This window comes from Homo sapiens, chromosome 3, assembly GCF_000001405.40.
Source record: "Homo sapiens chromosome 3, GRCh38.p14 Primary Assembly".
Lineage (NCBI taxonomy): Eukaryota > Metazoa > Chordata > Mammalia > Primates > Hominidae > Homo > Homo sapiens.
In genome coordinates, this window is record NC_000003.12 from 56,540,301 (window position 1) to 56,566,009 (window position 25,709).

Genomic DNA, 25,709 nt, shown 5'->3' on the forward strand with positions numbered 1-25,709 from the left:
AGGGCAGTGAGGCTCAGAGAAGGTAACTAACTTGAGTAAGGACAGGAAAAAATATTTGACCTGGACAACTTGACTCCTGAGCAGGTACCCTTAAACACCACGTTTGTCCGCCTCAGTGTTTTTCAAATTTCTCAATATTTTTCAGATCTCACTCCTCTCCACTTCCCTCCCCGTTAAAATAAAAGTCTGTCTTCATCTTGCATCTTCCTGTGGCCTTCTTCCCTTCACTTTCCAGTCTTCACTGCCTCCACTGTAGTCTAGCTTCCAGCCTTCCAGCCTTCTGTTCTCACTAAATCTGCCCTTGCTGAGATCACAAAGAGGCTCCGCCAAGCACCAGGTACCTTACACATTCAACTGTGTTGAATTCATCTACTCATTCACCAAATGGTTTTGAGCACCTACTCTGTTCCAGAAACTGTGAAATATGAACTGGGTATATAGTAGCGAACAAAACAGATGGAGTCCCTGCCATCACATATCTGAGATCATCAGTGACTTCTTACCTTCCAGGTACAGGAGCCACTTTGGCCACTTCTCATATTTTCTCCTGCTTAATCTCTGCAGCATTGGTCATGCCAATCATTTCTTCCTTGAAATTTGGAGCTGCTTTGGCTTCCGTGAAGCCTCTTACCCCTGATTCTCTATTTCTGGGACCATGCCTTCTCACTTCCTTTGATAAGTTTCTCTTTTTCCATCAACCCCTTAAATGTTGGAGTTTCTGAGAGTTCTATCATGGAGCACATTAAAGTCAATATGCCTGAAACAATGTTTTTTCTACCTCCCATCCACATCTTTCCATCTTTATTCCTTGTTCTTGTGAATGGCAGCATTTGACACCCAATCTCCCACTCTTTTTCTGCCCCACGCCCTTACCCAATTGTCAGAAAATCCTCAGAGTTCTACCTCAATATACCCCTTACCTGTTAACGCTCTCCTTACCTCTCCTTGGACAAATGCAATGGAATCTTTTTTTTTCTTAACAGCTTCATTGAGATATAATTGTTATAAAATACTGTTAATACCGTTAAGTATATTTTTCATCTCAGACACTGTATTTTTCATCTTTAGAAGTTCAATTTGGGTCTTTAAAATATTTTCTATGTCTCTATTTCACTTTTTTTTTGAGATGGAGTTTTGCCCTGTTGCCCAGGCTGGAATGCCATGGCACAATCTCAGCTCACTGCAACCTCCAACTCCGAGTTCAAGCGATTCTCCTGTCTCAGACTCCTGAGTAGCCGGGACTACAGGTGCATGCCACCACACCCAGCTAATTTTGTATTTTTAGTAGAGACAGGATTTCGCCACGTTGGCCAGGCTGGTCGCAAACTCCTGACCTCAAGTCATCCGCCCACTTCAGCTTCCCGAAGTGCTGGGATTACAGGTGTGAACCACTGTGCCCGCCTCTACTTCACTTTTAAAACATTTGCAATCCAGTTATAATAACTAATTTAATATCTTTCTCTGCTAATTCCATCTGTGTACGTTCTCAGTCAGTTTAAATTGATTGATTATTCTTCTTATACTGGGCCATAATTTCCTGCTTCTTTGTAGGGTAATATTTGATTGGATGACAGAAATCACAAATTTTACCTTGTTTGGGTACAAGGTACACTTTTTGTATCCCTGTAAATTTTCCTGAGTCTGGGATGAAGTTAAATTACTTGGAAATAGTTTGATCCTTTCAGGTCTAGCTTTTATGACTTGTTAGGCAGATCTGCAGCAGTGTTCAGTCTATTCCAATACTGAGGCAAAAGCTTCCTGATTAATCTACCCTGGATTTTGGGTTTCTCCAGTCTGGCTGATGGGAGGAGGTATTGTTCCTGGACATGCCTGAGTACCAGCTACTCTTCTCTCTAACTCTTCTGAGTGGTTACATCCCTGGCCTTACACGCGTGCTGCTTAGCACTTTGCTGAATACTGAAGGAGCGTCTGCACATCTCCAGGCTTCTCTGCCTTTGTGCAGCTCTCTCCTCTGTGGTGCTCTGTTCTAGGAACTTGTCTTGGTCTCCCCAAACTCTCAGCTTGGTCTCCTCACTCAGGGAGACCGCTGGGCTCCACCTGGGTTTCCTCTCCCTGCATCAGAGTCTGGAAACTCTCTCAAAGCAGTGCGTAGGGCTGTAGGATTTGTCTATCCTTCATGTTTCCTGTTTCACAAGGATCTCTGTCTTTTATTGCCTGATGTCCAGTGTTTTGAAAACCATTGCTTTAGGTATATTGTTTGTTTTTGTTGTTTTTGTTGGGAAGTTAAATCCAGTCCTGTACCTCCATCTTGACCAGAAGAGGAAGTCTTCCAACGGAATCCTAACCAATCAATCACCTTATCTCAAACTTTTGCAATCCAGTTTTCTCACTTTATCAAAATTTTATTTTTTCTTAAAATACTAATCTCTTTCAAAAAACCAGCTCCTGGATTCATTAATTTTTTGAAGGGTTTTTTTGTGTCTCTATTCCCTTCAGTTCTGCTCTGATCTTAGTTATTTCTTGCCTTCTGCTAGCTTTTGAATGTGTTTGCTCTTGCTTTTCTAGTTCTTTTAATTGTGATGTTAGGGTGTCAATTTTGGATCTTTCCTGCTTTCTCTTGTGGGCATTTAGTGCTATAAATTTCCCTCTACACACTGCTTTGAATGTGTCCCAGAGATCTGGTATGTTGTGTCTTTGTTCTCGTTGGTTTCAAAGAATATCTTTATTTCTGCCTTCATTTCGTTATGTACCCAGTAGTCATTCAGGAGCAGGTTGTTCAGTTTCCATGTAGTTGAGCAGTTTTGAGTGAGTTTCTTAATCCTGAGTTCTAGTTTGATTGCACTGTGGTCGGAGAGACAGTTTGTTATAATTTCTGTTCTTTTACATTTGCTGAGGAGAGCTTTACTTCCAACTATGTGGTCAATTTTGGAATAGGTGTGGTGTGGTGCTGAAAAAATGTATATTCTGTTGATTTGGGGTGGAGAGCTCTGTAGATGTCTATTAGGCCCGCTTGGTGCAGAGCTGAGTTCAATTCCTGGGTATCCTTGTTAACTTTCTGTCTCGTTGATCTGTCTAATGTTGACAGTGGGGTGTTAAAGTCTCCCATTATTATTGTGTGGGAGTCTAAGTCTCTTTGTAGGTCACTCAGGACTTGCTTTATGAATCTGGGTGCTCCTGTATTGGGTGCATATATATTTAGGATAGTTAGCTCTTCTTGTTGAATTGATCTCTTTACCATTATGTAATGGCCTTCTTTGTCTCTTTTGATCTTTGTTGGTTTAAAGTCTGTTTTATCAGAGACTAGGATTGCAACCCCTGCCTTTTTTTGTTTTCCATTTGCTTGGTAGATCTTCCTCCATCCTTTTATTTTGAGCCTATGTGTGTCTCTGCACGTGAGATGGGTTTCCTGAATACAGCACACTGATGGGTCTTGACTCTTTATCCAATTTGCCAGTCTGTGTCTTTTAATTGGAGCATTTAGTCCATTTACATTTAAAGTTAATATTGTTATGTGTGAATTTGATCCTGTCATTATGATGTTAGCTGGTTATTTTGCTTGTTAGTTGATGCAGTTTCTTCCTAGTCTCGATGGTCTTTACATTTTGGCATGATTTTGCAGCGGCTGGTACCGGAAAAAGGGCTAATATCCAGAATCTACAATGAACACAAACAAATTTACAAGAAAAAAACAAACAACCCCATCAAAAAGTGGGAAAAGATATGAACAGACACTTCTCAAAAGAAGACATTTATGCAGCCAAAAAGCACATGAAAAAATGCTCACCGTCACTGGCCATCAGAGAAATGCAAATCAAAACCACAATGAGATACCATCTCACACCAGTTAGAATGGCGATCATTAAAAAGTCAAGAAACAACAGGTGCTAGAGAGGATGTGGAGAAATAGGAACACTTTTACACTGTTGGTGGGACTGTAAACTAGTTCAACCATTGTGGAAGTCAGTGTGGCGATTCCTCAGGGATCTAGAACTAGAAATACCATTCGACCCAGCCATCCCATTACTGGGTATATACCCAAAGGACTATAAATCATGCTGCTATAAAGACACATGCACACGTATGTTTATTGCGGCACTATTCACAGTAGGAAAGACTTGGAACCAAGCCAAATGTCCAACAATGATAGACTGGATTAAGAAAATGTGGCACATATACACCATGGAATACTATGCAGCCATAAAAAATGATGAGTTCATGTCTTTTGTAGGGACATGGATGAAATTGGAAATCATCATTCTCAGTAAACTATCACAAGAACAAAAAACCAAACACTGCATATTCTCATTCATAGGTGGGAATTGAACAATGAGAACACATGGACACAGGAAGGGGAACATCACACTCTGGGGCCTGTTGTGGGGTGGGGGGAGGGGGGAGGGATAGCTTTAGGAGATATACCTAATGCTAATTGAAGAGTTAATGGGTGCAGCACACCAGCATGGCACATGTATACATATGTAACTAACCTGCACATTGTGCACATGTACCCTAAAACTTAAAGTATAATAATAATAAAATAAAATAAAAAGAAAAAAAGAAATACTAATCTCTTGTTATTCCCTTGCTTCAAACTTTTTTATGGCACCCCCATATTTTTATAATAAAATTTGAACTGTAATTTTAAAAAGAAAAAACTGGATTTAACTTCATCTACGGATGCCAATTTCATCAGGAATATTTACCTTGTACTGACCAGATACCATCTAATAGTGATATTGAAGTTAGACTTCAGAGATAGACTTTTTTTCTTTTTTTTTTTTTTTTTGAGACAGAGTCTTGCTCTGTCACCCAGGCTGGAATGCAGTGGCACGATCTTGGCTCACTGCAACCTCTGCCACCCGGTTTCAAGCAATTCTCCTGCCTCAGCCTCCCAAGTAGCTGGGATTACAGGTGTGTGCCATCATGCCTGGCTAATTTTTGTATTTTTACTAGAGACAGGGTTTCAGTATCTTGGCCAGGCTGGTCTTGAACTCCTGACCTCGTGATCCACCCGTCTCAGCCTCCCAAAGTGCTGGGATTACAGGCGTGAGCCACCGCGCCCAGCCCGGTAGACTAATTTGACTCTACCATTACTCACCGTCTGACTTAATCAAGGTATTTTACTTCTCTAAGCCTCAGTTTTGTCTTCTGTAAGATGGAGAAAATACTAATATCTACAACAGAGTTTTCATTTGTTTAAGAATAGTTTGAGACACTTTTAAAATTCTTAGTTCTATGTCAAATATAACAAGTACTCAATAAACAGGAACTTATTTCAGTTTATTATTACTAAAACAATCAATCAATTGGTTATTTTGTTGTCTGTTCAAGAATATCATGATTACAATTTTTGTTTCTATCCAGTGAACCTCTGTAGAAATAAAGTTGGGGGCTGGGAGTGGTGGCTCGCCTCTGTAATCCCAACACTTTGGGAGGCCAAAGCAAGAAGATCACTTGAGCCCAAGAGTTTGATACCAACCCAGGAAACATAGTGAGACGCTGTCTCTACAAAAAATTAGAAAATTAGCCTGGCATGGTGACATATGCCTGTAGTCCCAGCTACACAGGAGGCTGAGTAGGAAGGATCACTTGATCCTGGGAGGTCAAAGCTGCAGTAAGCCATGATCATGCCACTTCATTTCAGCCTGGGTGACAGGGCTAGACCCTATCTCAAAAAGAAAGAAAGAAAGAAAGTTAGATAATTCTTGCTGTGATCTATTTTGTTATTTTGTAGTCTAGGAAAATTAATGACACTTTCAAAAATAGATGCATTCCCTTCCAACAGTACAACATAAAATACAAAATTAAACTGTCACAAAAGTCTTCCCAAAAGATTGAAAATTATATGATTTAATACTTTTAAGTATCTTTCTAAAGCGGCGCATTTTCAAATATTTCTAACATTGGGAGAAAAGCCCATCTGCTGAATCTTCTAGTTGAAGCAAGGAGTTTTCAGTTCTGTTGAGCCTTTCCCAGGGAACGATAGGAAAGGTGGGTGGACCCGAAGAGAAGATGGCTGTGTCCCCAGTGGGGAAGGAGTAAACAAGGCCTGTCACTAATTTCTGTGGAAATTCAGAGTCAATAAAGCTGAACACTGGTGAGCAAAATGAGACAGAAGTGGAGTTTCAGAATGGGAAAGAGGAAAGAAAGAAAGAAGAAACAATCAGGGCCTAACAAGGGGCAGCATATCGGAGACACATTTTTCCAAAGGCTGGGAAAGAAGGATGTCTGGTGACAGGTGTTTTTCCACATTCTGTAGAAGGGCAGAGAAAGAGAGAGAATACATACAAGAGGAGAATAATGAGATTGGCACCTGGAAATCCTCAAGAACAGGCATCTGTAGTAATAGTGTGAACACATTTTCACATTTAACTCTCCAAAAACCCTAAATGCCAAATTCTAATATTATCCCCATTTTATGGGGAAAGAAACTGAGACTTAGAGAGGCCAATGAACTTCCCCCGGACCACACAGCAAAGTTAGCAGCAAGTCAGGAATTTGAATCTGGGTCTATTTAATCAGAGCCTGCATTCTTCTCCACCTTGCTGTACTACTAGCTCTTGGTAATGCGAGGAAAGCAGGAGATTCAAAGGAATTTAGGAAAGCAGTGGGGGAATGTGAAGAAAAGGTACTGGCAAAACTTCATACCTCTAGTTCTTAAGTAAAAATTTATTTAAATTTTTCTTTGTGTGTGTTTTTTTTTTAAGCCTTGGCAAAAATGTTATCTTATACCACAGTAATAAAGCATGAGATTCTTGGCCAGGTGTGGTGGCTCACACCTATAATCCCAGCACTCTGGGAGGCCAAGGTGGGCAGATCACCTGAGGCCAGGAGTTTGAGACCAGCCTGGCCAACATGGTGAAACCCCGTCTCTACTAAAAATACAAAAATTAGCCAGACATGGTAACGCATGCCCATAATCCCAGCTGCTCAGGGGCTGAGGCATGAGAATAGCTTGAACCCAGGAGGCGAAGGTTGCAGTGAGCCAAGACCACATCACTGCACTCCAGCCTGGGCAACAGAGTGAGACTCCATCTCAAAAAAAAACAAAGAAAAGAAAAGAAAAGAAATAAATAAATAAAATGTGAAGATTCTTAAGTAATTTTATGTAAGGGGGCTTATTTGCAAAAGTCAAACTTCAAGTACTAGTTTATACAATTACTCAAATATTGTGAAAATCTCTTTGGAGATGATGATTCCTATTTCTGCTTAAGAATTAGCTTTAGATTTATTAAGGAAGTATTTTTTAATAAGCTTAATATAATCAGAAAATGTGTCTCTAAGTCTTCAGGAAGAGAGTCATGATTTTCTAGAATTTTATATTTTCTGTGTTAACCATTTAAAACCATGATTATTCAACTAAAATAAATCTCATCTGTTAAAACGTCCATATGGTATTGTTGTATATAAAGCTGGACCCACACTGCCATCTGCTGTGTCAAGATTAGGTTTAACATCACCCACATAAACCGGGTTTAAGAAATGCAAAAAAATTATATTGAAAACCCGTATTACTTTGCTTCTTGGAAAATGAATGCAGGGGAAAATAAGTACTAGCAGTTATTTATTTCAACTTGTATTAGCAGTGTGGGGAGAAATTGTATGTGTTTGTGTGTTTTAACATGACATATTTCAGGGACACAAAAATGAATAGAGAATAATATAACAAAATTTATGTTTCCACCATCTTTACTAAAAAATGAATATTACCAATGCCATTGATACTTGCTGGGTTTGTCTCCCTGGTCTCATTGTCACCACTCCCACCCAAGGAAATTACCCTCATGGTTGTCATGTTTATCACTGGGAAAGCCTTTCACAGGCAAATATGCACATCTAATAGGTAAATGTGTTCACCTTTTACTTCTGTGTGCTTTACTAAGGTTGACCAGTGAAGAAGTTTCTATGCTAGCAACTTCACCCTGGAAAATTAGTGGAGAGAGCTCTATTCCAAAACAGTCCTGTTATTCCCAGGAGGATTTTTTCCCAAATTTAAGATTCAGAGATGCCCAGATGATCTCTCCTTGGTTGCCGCTAAGTGATTGGTGTTCCCTTTCTTTGGTATGTCTATGGTAATATGTAAATTATAAGCCCCCATTGTCACATTACAGGTTCATGTGGGGAGAAAAGTATTCTACATAAAGGGAAAGCTGAAGAAGAGACACAGAAATGAGAGAGGATAGTAAGTATATTTGGGGAAGAGTAAGTAGACTGTCACAGCTGGAGCATCAGGGGATACGGGACATAAAGATGGATTTCTAGGGCCTACAAAAGCCACTGTGCCATTGACAGAATGAAGGGAAATGGAACCACAAGAGTCATGTTGGGAAAGGACAGTACAATGTAGCATTGCCTCTGCTGCATTCGAGGTGATTCCACACAGCCATGCGAGAACTGGCAGCTGCAACAGGAGACTGCATAGGTGAGGAGAGAAGTAGAAACTGGGAGTTTCAGACCCACCCTTACAATCCCTACAGAAATAAGAGTTCAAGGGAGGTAAGAGAGAGGTTGAGCAGTCAGAAGTAGGGCCTGGGAGAAGAGCAGGGGCCATGGATGCTAGAAAACAAAACTGGGGAGTCAGTCATGAGATGCAGCAGTATATCCCTCTACAAACGATGAAAATGCTCTTACTGCAATTCTCCCCAGTATCTGACCACTCTAGCTAACTATAACTTAAACCTCTTTCTTTTGGTCTTATCATGTAACTGCCCTTCTAATAATGAACCTGAATAGAGACAATTCCAGGAGGAAAAATATTGAGCCAGAGACACCACACCATCTGCAATCCAGTTCCCCATCTCCTTCAACACTTTTATGTAAGAATGAACTAGTTTAAGTCCAGACACGGTGGCTCACGCCTGTAATCCCAGCACTTTGGGAGGCCAAGGTGGGAGGATCACCTGAGGTCAGGAGTTTGAGGCCATCCTGGCTAACACGGTGAAACCCCATCTCTACTAAAAATACAAAAATTAGCCAGGCGTGGTGGTGGGTGCCTGTAATCCCAGCTACTCAGGAGGCTGAGGCAGGAGAATCACTTGAACCCAAGAGGTTGCAGTAAACAGAGATCATGCCATTGCCCTCCAGTCTGGGTGACAAGAGTGAAACTCCGTCTCAAAAAAAAAATAAACTACTTTAAATGTATATCAGGCAGGCTAGAAAGAAAACAGAAGATAGCGCCACAGAGGAGCCTGCAAGGTCTAGGTTAAAGGACCCCAGAGAAAGCCATCTCAGATGGTATTGCTAAACAGAAATCTTAGACATATTGGTGACAGACTGCATCTTTCTGAGTCGGGTTTCTGTGCATGAGGTGGTATGTGTGTGTGGGTGGTGCAAGAAATGGGAGACAAGGAAAGCTGGAGAACTCCAAGCCATTCAAAACTCAAAAGCAAATCCCATAATTTGTTCATCTCTATAGATTTCAATTAGAGCTACGGTCTCAACTCTTGTTGGGTACTGTACTGGAAAGGAGGGGTGCTTCATGGAACAAGTACAGTCATATGTCCCTTAATGATGGGAATACATTCTGAGAAATGCCTTTTAGGTGATTTTGTCATTGTGTGAACATCATAGAGTGTACTTACACAAACTTAGATGACACAGCCTGTTGCACGCCTAGGCTATCTTGTATCACTATTGCTCTGACCACCACCGTATATGAGGGTCGTCGTTGACTGAAATGTGGTTATGTGGCACATGACTGTATATGCATTAGTTGTATTATTACTTTAACAAATTACCACAAATTTAGTGGCTCAAAACAACACAACTTTATTATCTTACGGTTCTGTAAGTCAGAGGTCTGATGTGGGACTCACCGGGCTAAAATTAAGGTGTTGCCAGGGATGAATGTCTTTTGGAGGCTCTAGAGGAGAATCCATTTCCCCGCTTTTTCCAATTCCTAGAGGCCACCCACAGTCCTTAACTTGTGGCTCCCCTTCTCCATCTTCAAAGCCAACAATGTAGCATCTCTTTGACCCTGTTTGCATTGTCATACCTCTCTCTCTGAACTTCTGTTTCCCTCTTTCATTTTTAACGATCCTTGTAATTACATTGGGCCCACCCAAATTATCTAGGATAATCTCCCTATTTTAAGGTGGGTTGATTAGCAATCCTAAATCCATCTGCAACCTTAATTCCCCTTTGCCATGTAAGGTTACATATTCACAGTTTTCAGGGATTAGGATGTAGAATTTTTGGGGACACCATTATTCTGTTTGCTGCAAGGTGCTTCCATGTACATTGACCTGTCATAAACACAATTAATTGGTGGCACAATTCATTTTCCTCATAGATAAATGTGTTCACCTTTTACTTCTGTGTGTTTTATTAAGACTGACCAGAGAAGTCTCCTTGAAAGCAACAATTATCCTGGAGAGTTCATGCAGAGTTCTATTACAATACCTTTGCTCTCAAGAAGAATTTCCCCAAATTTAAGAGTCAGGACTGCCCAGCTAACCTCTCCTTCATTGCTGCTAAGTCTTATACCAACCATAGTGTTCTCTTTTCTTTGATATGTCTAAGTTAATATATAAATTATGAACTTCTATTGCCACATTACAGGTTTAGAAGTAGCATGTTCCCATTTTACATGATTCCTTTTCTAGCAGGCAGTTACTGGTTTACGGCAATTTTTATGTATCTTCTTTCCAACAGATATTTACTTAGAGCTTCCCACGTGTTAGGCTTTGGGGGCAATACAGAGCAAGGGCAGCATGTCCCTGCTCTCAGAGATTATACTCTAGTGGGCATTCAGGGACAGTCACAAATGCTCTGTGGAGGGAAGTGCAGAGTACACCCTGGAGTGGAAGAAGGGTCTAACCCAGAGACGGAGACAGTAAGGGAGGTTCCCAGGAAGATGTGACATCTCAGCAACAACCCTGTAGAACAAGTTGCTCAGGTGAGGGGCATCCTGAGGAACAGCATTTCAGCAAACAGAAATCACTCCAGGAGGGCAGGGATTTTGTCTATTTTGGTTATAGCTTTATCCCTTTTGCTAAAAACAATTCTGCGGACACATTAGGCACTCAATAAAATATGTGGAACAGATGACTATGCAAAGGTGGAAGATAGGAACAAGTGTGGCTACATTTGAGGAAATGAAAGCTCAGTGTGTTAAGAGGGCAGTGGTGAGAGGTGAAATTTAAAAGGTTGAGGCCGGGCACGGTGGCTCATGCCTGTAATCCCAGCGCTTTGGGAGGCCGAGGCGGGCGGATCACGAGATCGGGAGATCGAGACCATCCTGGCTAACACGGTGAAACCCCGTCTCTACTAAAAATACAAAAAAAAAAAATTAGCTGGGCATGGCGGCGGGCGCCTGTAGTCCCAGCTGCTGGGGAGGCTGAGGCAGGAGAATGGCGTGAACCCGGGAGGCAGAGCTTGCAGTGAGCCGAGATCGCGCCACTGCACTCCAGCCTGGGCGACAGAGCGAGACTCCGTCTCAAAAAAAAAAGAAAGAAATTTAAAAGGTCAAGATGGGACTCATGAGATTGTTAAGCCCTTCGTGCTTTGTATCAGGAGCAATAGGGTTTTTTAATTATTGGGAGTTTTTTATTTTAATAGACTGTTTTATAAGAGTGATTTTAGGTTCGCTGCAAAATTAACAGGAAATACAGAGATTTCCCATATACTTTCTGCCCCTTCCCCAACCTACCTCTTTGTCAACATCCCCGACTAGAGTAGTACATTTGTTACAATGGATGAATTTATCAGGACAAACCATTCTTGCTCAAAGTTCATAGCTTCCATTAGAGTTTGCTCTTGCTCTTGTGCATTTTACGGGTTTGGATGAAAATGACATGTTTATTAGTCCGTTTTCATACGGCTATAAAGAACTGCCCAACACTGGGTAATTTATCAAAGAAAGAGGTTTAATTGACTCATAGTTCAGCATGGCTGGGGAGGCCTCAGGAAACTTACAATCACAGTGGGAGGTGACAGGGAAGCAAGGTGCCCTCTTCACAAGACAACAGGAAGGAGGAGGGCTGAGCAAAGGGGGAAGAGCTCCTCATAAAACCATCAGATCTTGTGAGAACTCATTCACTATCACAAGAACAGCATGTGGGAAACTGCCCCCATGATTCAACTACCTCCACCTGGTCTCTCCCTTCACACATGGGGGTTATGGGGATTATGAGGGTCACAATTCAAGATGAGATTTGGGTGGGGACACAATATCAACATGTATCCACTATTACAGTATCATACAGAGTAGTTTTACTGCCCTGAAAATCCTCTGTGCTCTGGCTATTTATCCCTCCTTCTTCCAATCCCTGGCAACCACTGATCTTTTTACTGTCTCCATAGTTTTGCCTTTTCCAGAATGCCATATAATCGAACTCATACAGTTTGTAGCCTTTCCAAATTGGTTCTTTCACTTAGTAATAACAATTTACATTTTCTCCATGCCTTTTCATGACTTGGTATCAAGCTCATTTTTTCTTAGTTCTGAATAATATTTCATTGTCAGGATGTGCCACAGTTTATGCATTCACCTACTGAAGGACATCCTGGTTGTTTTCAAGTTTTGACAATTATGAATAAAGCTGCTATAAACATCCATGTGTAGGTTTTCCTGTGGACATACATTTTCAACGCCTTTGGATAAATACCAAATAATGCAATTGCTGGGTCACGCACATGGTAGGAATATGTTTAGTTCTGTAAGAAACCACAAATGCCAGGTACAGTGGCACATGCCTATAATTCCAGCACTTTGGAAGGCCGAGGCAGGTGGATCCCTTGAGCTCAGGAGTTCAAGATCAGCTTTGGCAACATGGCAAAAGCCCATCTCCACAAAAAAATACAAAAATTAGCTAGGCATGGTGGCACACGCCTGTAGTCCTAGCTACTCAGGAGGCTGAGGTGGGAGGATTTCTTGAGCCCAGCAGTTCAAGACTGCAGTGGGCCAAAATCACGCTACTGCACTCCAGCCTGGACAACACAGTGAGACCCTGTCTCAACAACGAAAACAAAAAACTAAAAGAAAATCACCAAGATGTCTTCCAAGTGGCTACACCATTTTGCATTCTCACCAACAATGAATGAGATTGCATCCTCACCAGCACTTTGTGTTATCAGTGATCTAGAGTTTGACCATTCTAATAGGTGTGTAATAGTATTTCATTGTTGTCTTATTTTGCATTTCCTGATGACATATGACATATAGCATCTTGCATATGGTTATTTGCCATCTGTATTCAGCATCTTTTTAGGTGAGGCATTCATCAAGGTCTTTGGCTCATTTTTAAAATTGGGTTGTTTATGTTCTTATTGTTGAGTTTAAAGATCTTTTCTTATATTTTGAATAACAGTCCTTTATCTGATATGTCTTTGGTAAATATTCTCTCTTAGAATGTGGCTTATCTTTTCTTTCTCTTATCGGTGTCTTTTACAAAATGGAAAATTTTGATTTTAATGAAGTCCAGCTTATCAATTCTTTCTTTGATGGATCATGCCTTTGGTGTTGCATCTAAACAGTTATCATCATATGATGTTAGCTGTGGGCTTGTTAAAAAAAAGTTATCATCAAACCCAAAGTCATCTAGATTTTCTCCTATGTTTTCTTCTAGGAGTTATACAGTTCTGCATTTTACATTTAGGACTCTGTTCTATATTGAGTTCATTTTTGTGAAGAATGCAAGGTTTGGGTCAGACTAATATTTTTGCATGTGGATATCCAATTGTTCCAGCACCATTTGTTGAAAGATAATCTTTTCTCCTTTGTTTTGGCTTTACTCCTTTGTCAAAGACCGGTTGACTATTTATGTGGGTCTATTTCTAGGCACTCTGTTTTATTATTTATCTATTTGTTTATTCTTTCACTAATACTACACTGTTTTAATTACTGTAGCTTTATAGTAAGTCTTGATGTCGGGTAGTGTCAGTCTTCTGACTTTGTTCATCTTCAATATTGTTTTCGCTGTTCTGGGTCTTTTGTCTCTCCATATAAACTTTAGATTCGGTTTGTTGATATCCACAAAATAACTTGCTGGGATTTTGATTGGCATAGTGTTGAATCTATAGATCAAGTTGGGAAGAACTGACACCTTGACAATATTGAGTCTTCCAATCTATAAACACAGAATATCTCTCCATTTATTTAGTTCTTTGATTTCTTTCATCAGAGTTTTGTAATTTTCCTCATATAGATTTTATACATATATTGTTAGATCTATACCTAAGCATTTGATTTGATGGGATGCTAATGTGAATAGTATTGTTTGTTTGTTTGTTTGTTTTTGTGACGGAGTCTCTCTCTGTTGCCCAGGCTGGAGTGCAGTGGTGCGATCTCGGCTCACTGCAAGCTCCACCTCCTGGGTTCAGGCCATTCTCCCGCCTCAGCCTCCTGAGTAGCTGGGACTACAGGCGTCTGCAACCACACGCAGCTAATTTTTTGTATTTTTAGTAGAGACGGGGTTTCACCGTGTTAGCCAGGACAGTCTCGATCTCCTGACCTCGTGATCCGCCCGCCTCAGCCTCCCAAAGTGCTGGGATTATAGGCGTGAGCCACCGCGCCTGGGCAGTATCGTGTTTTTATTTTCAGCTTCTATTTGTTCATTGCTGACATACAGGAAAGCAATTGGCTTTTGTGTATTAACCTTGCATTCTGCAATGCCACTATACTCACTTATTAATTCCAGGAGGATTTTTTGTGGCTTCTTTCAGATTTTCTACATAGACAATCATGTCATCTGCAAACAAAGTTTTCTTTCTTTCTTCCCAGTCTGTATACTTATTTCTTTTTCTTGTCTTAGCTAGGACTAAGGCTAAGTCTTAGGATTAGCTCAGACTTCCAGTGTGATGTTGAAAAGCAGTGATAAGAAGAGACATTCTTGCCTTGCTCTTGTTCCCAATCTCAGTGGAAAAGTTGCACTTTTTCACTGTTAAGTGTGATATTGGGCTCTACAGGATTTTTTTAAAAAATAGAGATAGAGTCTCACCATGTTGCCCAGGCTGGTCTCGAACTCCTACACTCAAGCAATCCTCCTGCCTTGGCCTTCCAAAGTGCTGCAATTACAGGCATAAGCCACCACACCCGGTCTCTAGGAGATTTTTTGTAGATATTGCTTATCAAGTTAAGGACGTTCTCCTATATTGAGAGATTTTAAGAAGCAGAGTGAATTAAGCAGATTCACATTTTAGAAATCATTCTGGCTACAGGCTCACGCCTATAATCCCAGCACTTTGGGAGTCTGAGGTGGGAGGACTACTTGAGGCCAGGAGTTTGAGACCAGCCTGGGCAACGTAAACAGACTCTGTCTCTACAAAAATTTTTTTAAAAATTAACCAGGCGTAGTGGTGCATGCCTGTAGCCCTAGCTACTTGGGAGGCTGAGACAGGAGGATCATTTAAGACCAGGAGTTCGAGGTTACAGTGTTATGTTCGTACCAATGTAGGCGGCCTGGGTGACAGAGCAAAACCCTGTCTCTAAAAAAAAAAAAAAAAGAAAGAAAAGAAAAAGAAAAAGCAAGTGTTGGGGTGAAGAAATTAGAACCTCATATACATTGCTGGCAGAAATGTAAGATGCTGCAACTGTTATGAAAACAGTTTGGCAGTTTCTCGAAAAGTTAACCATAGAATTACCATGTGACCCAGTAATTCCACTCTTAGGTGTATACCAAGAAAATTGAAAATAGGGATTCAAACAGATACTTGTACATCAGTGTTCACTACAGCATTATTCACAATAACTAAAAGATGGAAACAACCCAAATGTCTATTAATGGATGAATGAGTAAACGAATTGTGGTATATATATACATAGAATGGAATACTATTCAATCATAAACAGATATGAAGCTCTGATACATCCTACAACATGGATGCACCTTGAATACATTATGTTACTTGAGAGAAGACACAAAAGGACAAATATTGTATGATTCCACTTTTATGACATGAAGTATCTATAATAGGCAAATTCCTAGAGACAGAAATAAGATTAGAGGTTTCTTAGGATTGAGGGGAGAGGAAAATGGGAAGTTGTTGCTTAATGGGTACAGAATTTTTATTTGGGGGTACTAAAAAGCTTTTGGAAAAATATACTGGCGTATTCCACAACATTGTATCATGGAATTGTCACTTGAAAATGGCTAAAAATAGCAAATTTTAACACACATATTACAACAATAAAAAATAAAAAAGTAAAGGTTTGTCAGGCATTTAATAATTAATACCTTTCATTGTTTTTGTCTGGAAAGAGTGTGTGCAAAGATACTTAACAACCAAATGTAATGTGTGATCCTTGATCGGCTCTTGCATTTTTTTTTTTTTTTTTTGAGACGGAGTCTCACTCTGTCGCCCAAGCTGCTGGAATGCAGTGGCGCGATTGGCTCTTGCTTTCTAAATAAAATGCCTATAAGATATTCTTAGGACAAGTGGGGGAAATTAAATCGGGAAGAGAATTATTATGAAATTAATGATCTTAGGTATAATAATTGTACTGCGGTTATGTAGCAGAACATCTATTCTTAGGAGATACATGCTGCAATGTTAAAGGGTTAAGTGTTACAATGTCTGCAATGTTAAAGGGTTAAGTGTTACAATGTCTGTAACTTACTTGCAAATGGTGACCCCAAAAAGGTGTGTGTGTGTGTGTGTGTGTGTGTGTGTGTGTGTGTGTGTGTGTGTGTGTGTGTGTGTGTCTGTGTACGCGCTTTGGAAGGCTACAATTGCGAGAAGCGCAGGTCTCCGCCACCGAAGCTTTAGACTCATAAGCCGGGTCAGGCCAAATTCCGCTGTGCGTAGGGGAACAAACGGCACAAACGGGGCACAAAAGGGGAACAAACGGCATACGCAACCGTCCCCGCGGGAGCCCCGGCCCAGCTCAGCGCACCCGCCAGCATGCCCCACCCTGATTGGTCCACTTGCTCAGCTCGCCGGCACCCCTATATCCAATTGGCGTAGCGCTTGCTGAGCGGCGGCGGCAACCGACGTACACAAGGGGCTTGAGCGTTCTGTGGAGAGAGTGCGAGGTCAGGCCATGAACTTGGGGTAAGCAGGGGTAAGCTGGGGTAAGCTGGGGTAAGCAAGGTGGTCGTCAGCGGAGAGGGAGGCATGTGTGTCTGGGTTGTCCCTTGGAGTCTTTACTGGAGAACGTTCCCAACCTGCGCCGCCGAGAGGGGCAGAGCCCAGTTCTCGGGTAGAAGATCGAGGCAGATGGGTCGGCCCTTAGCGACTCCACAGACCTTACGTTTTCACTTAATGACTAGCATTAAAACTGCCAGTGATCCCCTTTCGGTCCCTTATTTACCTCAGGATGAGGAGGGAAGAGAGGTGAGGAGGAAAGGAGAGAAATGACGAGACAGTTAGAGGAAGCGTGGCGGCTCCTGGGGAGGACTCCTGGCCCATGCCCCGGGTTCTTCGCCACCTTGTTTTTGGAGTCTTGCAGAATGTTGAAACGCCCAAATTCGTTTTAGGCCCACGAGGCGGGGAACCAGGCTTCTCAAGAAATCGATGTAGTACCAGTGCCTAACACCTAGTAGGCGCTCCTTAAGTAGGGGTGAATAAATAAAAAGGGCTGGTGCATGGTCTTCATCACTCGCAAGTTTGATATTTTGAGAAGATGAGAAGCCACCAAACTCAGACCTAACTACACATCGTTCAGCAAATGTTATTATGTTTTAGAATCTGGGGATATGGAAATAAATAAGATAGTGTGTCCCTTAAGGAGATTACAGTGCAGTGCGTCATTGAAGGTACTTTACCATTGAAGCTCTTTTCTTTCTTGGTGACGTTTCACCAACATAAACACGAACTGTTCATAACCCTACAATAAGGAAAGCCGTAAAACCTATTCTTTCCAGTGTTTTACCTTTAATAGTTAAGGTGAGGTAATTTGATTTCCCCTACCTGAGCAACACCGCAAATTTCGCATTCCTAATCAGACCTTTCCCAGCCTCTCTCTCCCTTGACTGGCTTGCTGGATTTAATTTTCTCTCTCTGAATTATGGACTGTATGTATGGGCTGCCATTTTTGTTCTCAGTGGAGTTTTAGGACCTTAACAGACGTTCAAGTTTTGTTGGCAGTGGCTACTGTTACTTTATGCCTTTGCTTCTGATATGCACGTATAAAGCACCATACTAAATATCACTATGTATTATTTGAAATATTGAAAGTGGTACTCTTTGCTCAAGCAGTTACTAACCTTGATGGCATTGTTAGTAGTCATATCGATGCTCCAGCACTCCATAGAATGTTTTAGTCATGAGTTCATTATGAAACTAATGAATGGCGGTTAAATATATCTTGTTCCTTTAACTTATGTGAGGAGTTTTGGTAACAGCATTATTAAAAAATGGTGGTATGATAACTTAATTTATAGTTTACCAATAACAAAATGAGATTTCAGGTTAATGATAACAATGCTTGTAGTATTGAAGAGTTTCAAGAATTTTCCCCCTGTAGTTGTGGGTTTTATCTTGGATTGCAAACGTTTTTAATTAAAACACTGGTTCGATGTGTACAAGATTCCTGCATAAATTCAAAATAATGGATTTATTGTCAGGTTCAAATGAACATTTCTGGTTATTTAAAATGTTGCGGTTTGTTAAAAATGAGAGACAACTTTCTTTTTTTATTACAGAGATGGTTTAAAGCTTGAAACTGAATTACTGGATGGAAAAACCAAGCTAATATTGTCTCCATATGGTATGTTGTGTTACAGAAATCTGAAATGTTAACTTTTAAATTCATACATAAAATTTATATTAGTTCAACAGACTTTTTGCTTGTAATAGAGTGATATTTAAATGATATTTTAGAAAAAGCTGTTTCCTCAAACTTCTGCAGATTTCCTTCTAGCCAAATAAAATCAGATTACAACACTGCTTACTACTGTCAGTATTCAGACTCATAACATTTAATGTTCCAGTATATTGCGTGTTCATTATATCCATATAGCAAATATCCTCATTGCCTGATGAATAATACAAGTAAAATTTATGTAATTATGTTCTTTGCATGTAAAGAATGTATCATTTGAGAAAAGTTTATAGTAAGACCACCGTAAAATGCTAAAGTCACTTTTAGTATTCGTTTTTAAACTCAGTGTACTTTGGTACCTTCTCCTTCGCATTTTTTTTTCTGTTTATAGTTTTACCTTGGAAAGATAAAAAACAAAAATAAAATAGAAGTAAATCCTTGAACTGGATTAGAAAAAAATACTCAGTCAAGATCTAAAGTTTATGCTTTCGAGGATAATGTTGCTAGCTTAAAATCTTATAACAATATTAATTACAGTTTTCTTGCATTACCACCTTAGTATGCTTTTGGTGGATAGTTTAGTAATTTCTTTTTTCTTTTGTAGAACATAAATCAAAAATTTCTGTGAAGGTAAGCCGTATAACTTTGACCTGACCTGTTTTCAAATGTAAAATGCAGTTTTATTTATAGTGGTTAGAAAATAATTCCTGGGAAATGTCAAGTGTTCTAAGGGGTTTGGAATTATAGTGAGGAGTTATTATTTTCTTGCTTTCAGATTGGTCCTTTCACAGAAATTGAATCATTTTAGGTTTAGCCCAATAGAACCTCTTTCTCTAGATAAGTGCTATTCAGTAAAGCATCTGTGTTAATGGAAGTGTTCATTAATAAAATCAGTATTATTGAATATGGAAGCCACTAGTCATGTATAGTTATTGAACCCTTAAAATGTAACTAGTATGACTGAGCAACTGAATTTCTAATTTCCTTTAATTTTTAATGGAATTTAATGGATAATGGATTGTACTGGACAATGCACTCCAGAGATCTTTAAAAATAGATATTCAGACTTTAAACAGAAATGTTTTTTCTTTTCATACTCAAATTCCATTTGCCCACACCAAAGGGGAAATTTAATTCACAAATTGTAGCATGCATTTAGCATTTTCCTTTAAAAGGTTGCACTTGAGCTTAAGGGTAATTTTCCTTTTAAATTATTTTCCCTTATCAGAAATCTATTGTGCTTTTTTCTACAAAATACATTATCACTTTGTTTATTTTAATTTTTGAGGCAGAGTCTCACTCTTGTCACCCAGGTTGGAGTGTAGTGGCATAATCATGGCTGCAGATCTTCCTCCTCCAGCCTCCTGAGTAGCTGGGACCGTGTGCATGAGCCACCATGCCCAGCTAATTTTTTTTATTTTTAGTAGAGATGGGATCTCACTATGTTGCATAGGCTGGAATTACCATTTAAAAAATTTTTTTGAGGTTGGGCATGGTGGCTCATGCCTGTAATCCCAGCACTTTGGGAGGCCAAGGTGGGTGGATCACCTGAGGTCAGGAGTTCAAGGCCAGCCTGGCCAACATGGTGAAACCCCATCTTTATGAAAAATACAAAAATTAGATGTGGTGGCGCTAGTCCCAGCTACTTAGGAGGCTGAGGCAGAAGAATCACTTGAACCCTGGAGATGGAGGTTGTAGTGAGCCGAGATCGCACCACTGCACTCCAGCCTGGGGGACAGAGCGAAATTCCTTCTCAAAAAACAAAAGCAAAAAAAGCCAACTGTTTTGATACTTCTACTCTTCTTGCTACCTATTTCTTTTTTAATTTTTAGATTAATATCAGTAGGAATTTCTCTTCTCTTCCATAACTTACTACAGCCCCCTTTTATCTTTGCAGTGTCTTAAAGTCTTTGCTTGTCTGTGGATAGAACCCAGTTTGGATGATGTACCACTTTATCCTTCAACTCTAAGCCCTTGATGGCTTTACTTGCAGGTTTAATTAAGGTGAAGAAGTTGCTGGAGTACCCGAAATATCACTCAATAAATAGGTGAAGATGATCAGAACAATTCCACAAACTACATATAAAAATTGTTTCTCTTTCTCTATCATATAGTTATATACCATGTATGCTCCCCAATCACAGACTACAGATTGTATGTTATTCCTACCCCTTTCCCTATTAAAAATTGCAACTAACTGCTGTTATTTGAAACACATTCACAAATACAGTGGCCTTTATCAAGTTCCTAGATGAAAAGCTGTTTGTAATGGTTGATTTTTATCTTCTCCAGGCTGATTTGTTATAGAAGCCACATTTGTGAAGACATTTTATTGTCATTTTAACCAACTCAGAACATCTGAAGATCCCCTTTATAGGCCTATAATAAACAGAATTACTGGTCTTGGATTTTTGGTAGGCCTATAATAAAGTTACTAGTCTTGGACTTTTGATTACTAGACTTTTAATCATAAAATTCTATCAGCTATCTAAAGGTGTTTTAGAATTTTTTTTTTAAGAGTAACTACTGTGTTCTCAACTGATGTTGAGCCTAAATTGTTTACTGCCTTAAAGCAAATTGTTTGGGTTTATCCCCATTGCATTTGGGACTTCAAAATACTGATGCAACCTAAGTTTCCCTTCTGTATTGATTGTTTTCAAGAAGTTTCTCTTCCCATATTGATAGAGGTTACAGAGATCCTCCTCATTTCTTTTTTGCTCTTCACAGACTATAAACACCAAAATCAGTAGTATTTTCTTCCTTTTTTGTTTTGTTTTTTAGTTTCCCAAATTTCACAGTTCTGCCACTAGATGTTGAATTCTCTTTTCTGCAAGTTATTCATGAATTATCTCTGCATAGTGCTTTTCTTTATTCCTTCTAATGGGGTAAGCTCCTGAGTTACTACAACACCTACAGGTCTCTTTTTTTTTCCCCCATTTCCCACTGGTTGAATTATTGTAATCTCCATAGTTTGTTCTTTAAACACAGCTGAACTCTATCTCATTATCATCAAGTTTAACATATATGTGGTCAAAGTGCTTTCCTAATTCTATCAAAATCTGTGCATTTTTCTTTTCTTTTTTTTTTTCTTTTTTGAGGCAGGCTCTCTCTCTTTGTCCAGGCTGGAGTGCAGTGGGACAATTATGGCTCACTGCAGCCTCGACCTCCTGGGCTCAAGGGATCCTCCTGCCTCAGCCTCCCAAGTAGCTAGGACTACAGGCGCGTGCCCACACCACCAGGCTCAGTTAATTGTTTAAAATTTTTTGTACAGACGGGAGTCTTCCTGTGTTGCCCAGGCTTGTCTCAAACTCCTGGGCTCAAGCGATCCTTCCGCCTCAGCCTCCCAGAGTGCTAGGATTATAGGTGTGAGCCACTGTGCCCAGCCTCTCCTACATTTTTATTTTTCTTCAATCTGTGGTAATGAAGTAAACTTGGTTACTTTCCTAATTTCTTAGGTTTATAGGAAGAGAAATGGGAAAATACAGATAATACAGTATCATAAGTAATTTATTAAAATAATGGATTCTAAAACTCTTACACTTAAAATAGTCTCAAAGATTAGTTGAACTATAAAACAATAAAAAAATTTTTATGAGTACCTCTGCACGTGAGAATCAGTGACATACTAAAAGGTATTTGTAATATTAGTGCTAGGTAGCACATTTTATATATATATATTTTGTTTGTTTTAGAGATGAAGTTTCGTTGTTGTTGCCCAGGCTGGAGTGCAGTGGCACGATCTCGGTTCACTGCAACCTCTGCCTTCTGGGTTCAAGCGATTCTCTTGCCTCAGCCCCTCGAGTAGCTGGGATTACAGGAGCCCACCACCACGCCCAGCTAATTTTTTGTATTTTTTTTTTTTAGTAGAGATGGTGTTTTACCTTGTTGGCCAGGCTGGCCTTGAACTCCTGACCTCAGGCAATCCACCCACCTCGGCCTCCCAAAGTGCTGGGATTACAGGCATGAGCCATTGCACCCTGGCCCACATTTTATATTTAAAAATGTTACTTTTCTCTGATTTGTTCTGGCCTTGGGATCCTGGCCCCATATAAATTGTGAAGTGAGCTGATATTAAACAAATCCATTGAACATTGTCTTTATAATAATAAAAAATGGCTGGGCTTGGTGGCTCACGCCTGTAATCCCAGCTCTTTGGGAGGCCAAGGCAGGTGGATCACCTGAGGTCAGGAGTTCGAGACCAGCCCGGCTAACATGGTGAAACCCCGTCCCTACTAAAAATACAAAAACTAGCCAGGCTTGGTGGTGGGCACCTGTAATCCCAGCTACTCAGGTGGCTGAGGCAGGAGAATTGCTTCAACCGGGGAGGTGGAGGTTGCAGTGAGCTGAGATCGTGCTGTTGCACTCCAGCCTGGGCAACAGAGTGAAATGCTGTGTCAAAAAAAAGTAGTTAAAAAAATTTTTTTAATTGAAAAAAAAAAAAAAGAGATAATGTAGGTGGTATAATCTAATGACATAAGATTCAAAGCTGGAGTATAGTGGAGATGTCCTATAACAACTATAATAAAAGTTCCTGAAGTAAGATAATTTCTAGTTGTTGATGAAGATTTGCAAGTATTAAGAGTTAGTTTCTTATGGTTATATTACCTAAATAGCAAAATGGAAAAAAGTTTAGAGGACTGATTTATCACAGATCATATAAAGATAATTGGTGATTTTTCTTGGACAGTTATAAAGAATAAGCTTCTGGTGTTTTAACAGATGGGAAATAAGGCCAAGATTGCAAAATGTCCTTTAAGAACAAAAACTGGGCACATTCTAAAATCAACACAAGATACTTGTATTGGGAGTGAAAAACTTTTGCAAAAGAAGCCAGTTGGTTCAGAAACATCACAGGCAAAAGGTGAAAAAAATGGAATGACTTTTTCATCCACTAAGGATTTATGTAAACAATGTATAGATAAAGACTGTCTTCATATCCAGAAAGAGATTTCACCTGCAACCCCTAATATGCAGAAGACTAGAAACACCGTAAATACATCTCTAGTAGGTAAACAGAAGCCTCACAAAAAACACATCACAGCTGAAAACATGAAGAGCAGTTTGGTGTGTCTAACACAAGACCAACTACAACAGATTTTGATGACTGTAAACCAAGGAAATAGATCTCTTTCCCTGACTGAGAATGGAAAGGAGGCAAAAAGTAAGATTTTTCTAAAGTTTTCATGAATTTTGATTTTTTCAATATGTGTTTTAGAATATCAGATTCATTGGGTTTTATGTAACTGTGACTCTTAAACTCTAATTTAACCTGTCAATCTATTAAAATAATTGTTCTTTTAGAGGACTTTCTCTAATATGCAAAATTATTTTTATAGTTGTGCCATATTTTAAGGTTAGTGTTCAGAATATTAAGAAACCTAGTTTCTGTGGATTTTAGAAAAAATGTTAGTACAAAAAACTATTATTATACTTATTTTAGAATATAGGAGGCTTTACTCATATTTAAAATAGTTATATGAAACATTGTTTAAAAACAAATTACGGTATTTCCAGTGAAAATTAAGGAAACCTTACTATGACTATTTGACTTGAGTTACTGAAAAACATTGCTTTCCTGGCCACAGCATTTACTCTTCCTGTTCCTCATTCCATGCTAAGAAATGGCAGTACTTTTTTTAAAAAACAAGGTTAACACAGATTTGGAAGGAACAGTAGAGTGTTACATGCTTTGTCTTTCACAAGTCCTGGCATTGTATTGTGTTTTTAAAAGCCTTCTAATTTCCACTTTGGGATAAGGAATTGCGAATATGAAGACAATAGAAATATCTAAAATTTTATTAGGCAATAGTGAAATAAATAAAAAATTAACAGTTCACATGGAGAGGCCCCACAAATGGTTTGGGGACCCATTAACTCCTGAATATTCCCGTGATACTCAAGATGGAATTATTTACTCTCTTGTTATAGATTATTCTTGGTAAAATGAGGGAGCTGGATTTTGTCTTTAAGGCTAAAATTCTAGCAACAACCTGCTTATTAGGCATAACGAGAAATCATATCAACAAAGTTAAAAGCAGAATTTGCCTAATCACGTAGACTTTCATGATTTCTTTCTCTTCACTGGGAGAACTAGCACATTCAAAAGAAATCAGAACATTTTTTGAGCCATCCTGTGAGCCCTCTAAAACATCTGATTTTGATATTATAGCTGGGCATAGAGACAATTCATGAAAAGGTTTTCCACTGATTTCACAGCTAAATAAGAAAAATAACGTCAAGGTAATGAGTATTTATCAAGATATTTGTATTCCCCTTTAGGTTGTGATTTGTGTTATAATTTTTATTTTATTTATTTATTTATTTTTTGAGATGGGGTCTCGCTTTGTCACCCAGGCTGGAGTGCAGTGGCACGATCTTGGCTCACTGCAAGCTCTGCCTCCCGGGTTCACACCATTCTCCTGCCTCAGCCTCCCGAGTAGCTGGGACTACAGGCGCATGCCACCACACCCGGCTAACTTTTTTTTTTTTTTCTTTTTTTTGTATTTTTAGTAGAGACGGGGTTTCACCGTGTTAGCCAGGATGATCTCAGTCTCCTGACCTCATGATCCGCCTGCCTCAGCCTCCTAAAGTGCTGGGATTACAGGCATGAGCCACCACACCCAGCCATATAATTTTTATTTTTATTTTTTATTTATTATTATTATTTTTTTAGATGGAGTCTCGCTCCGTTGCCCAGGCTGGAGTCTCGCTGCGTCGCCCAGGCTGGAGTCTCGCTGCATCGCCCAGGCTGGAGTGCAGTGGTGCGATCTCGGCTCACTGCAAGCTCCGCCTCCCAGGTTCACGCCATTCTCCTGCCTCAGCCTCCCAAGTACCTGGGACTACAGGCGCCCGCCACCACGCCCGGCTAATGTTTTGTATTTTTAGTAGAGACGGGGTTTCACCGTGTTCGCCAGGATGGTCTCGATCTCCTGACCTCGTGATCCGCCCACCTTGGCCTCCCAAAGTGCTGGGATTACAGGCGTGAGCCACCGTGCCTGGCCAGTTTTTATTTTTAAAAGCATGCTGGCAAGAGGAAATGGAGATT

At 39.9% G+C, this 25,709-nt stretch overlaps 1 protein-coding gene across 38 annotated transcripts in view, besides 3 other annotated features; it reads left to right on the top strand.

Annotated features, from left to right (window-relative positions):
• Nucleotides 16,318-16,990: an enhancer, noted in NCBI's record as "H3K27ac hESC enhancer chr3:56590646-56591318 (GRCh37/hg19 assembly coordinates)". NCBI's record gives its function as "activates a minimal SCP1, AML or CMV promoter by ChIP-STARR-seq in naive H9 embryonic stem cells {active_cell/tissue: H9 hESC(naive)}" and the evidence as "EXISTENCE:reporter gene assay evidence [ECO:0000049][PMID:30033119]".
• CCDC66 (coiled-coil domain containing 66) overlaps nucleotides 16,856-25,709 on the top strand; it is a 64,682-nt gene continuing 55,828 nt past the window's right edge. For 22 of the 38 annotated variants that reach the window (NR_148371.1, NR_148367.1, NR_148366.1 and 19 more), the window contains exons 1-4: nucleotides 16,856-16,953; nucleotides 18,546-18,610; nucleotides 19,269-19,294; nucleotides 23,384-23,825. Coding sequence is in view for 20 of the 38 variants with exons in the window: in NM_001353147.1 (NP_001340076.1) it covers nucleotides 16,943-16,953; nucleotides 18,546-18,610; nucleotides 19,269-19,294; nucleotides 23,384-23,825 (544 nt within the window). In the remaining 18 variants the exon portion in view is untranslated. Of the gene's footprint in view, nucleotides 16,964-18,545; nucleotides 18,611-19,268; nucleotides 19,295-20,561; nucleotides 20,713-23,383; nucleotides 23,826-24,833; nucleotides 24,905-25,709 lie in introns of those variants that run through there. The other 16 variants (NR_148370.1, XM_024453462.2, NM_001012506.5 and 13 more) reach the window with 10 other exon arrangements.
• Nucleotides 16,991-17,662: an enhancer, noted in NCBI's record as "H3K27ac hESC enhancer chr3:56591319-56591990 (GRCh37/hg19 assembly coordinates)". NCBI's record gives its function as "activates a minimal SCP1, AML or CMV promoter by ChIP-STARR-seq in naive H9 embryonic stem cells {active_cell/tissue: H9 hESC(naive)}" and the evidence as "EXISTENCE:reporter gene assay evidence [ECO:0000049][PMID:30033119]".
• Nucleotides 17,131-17,290: an enhancer, noted in NCBI's record as "active region_19979". NCBI's record gives its function as "activates an Ori minimal core promoter by ATAC-STARR-seq in GM12878 lymphoblastoid cells {active_cell/tissue: GM12878}" and the evidence as "EXISTENCE:reporter gene assay evidence [ECO:0000049][PMID:35858748]".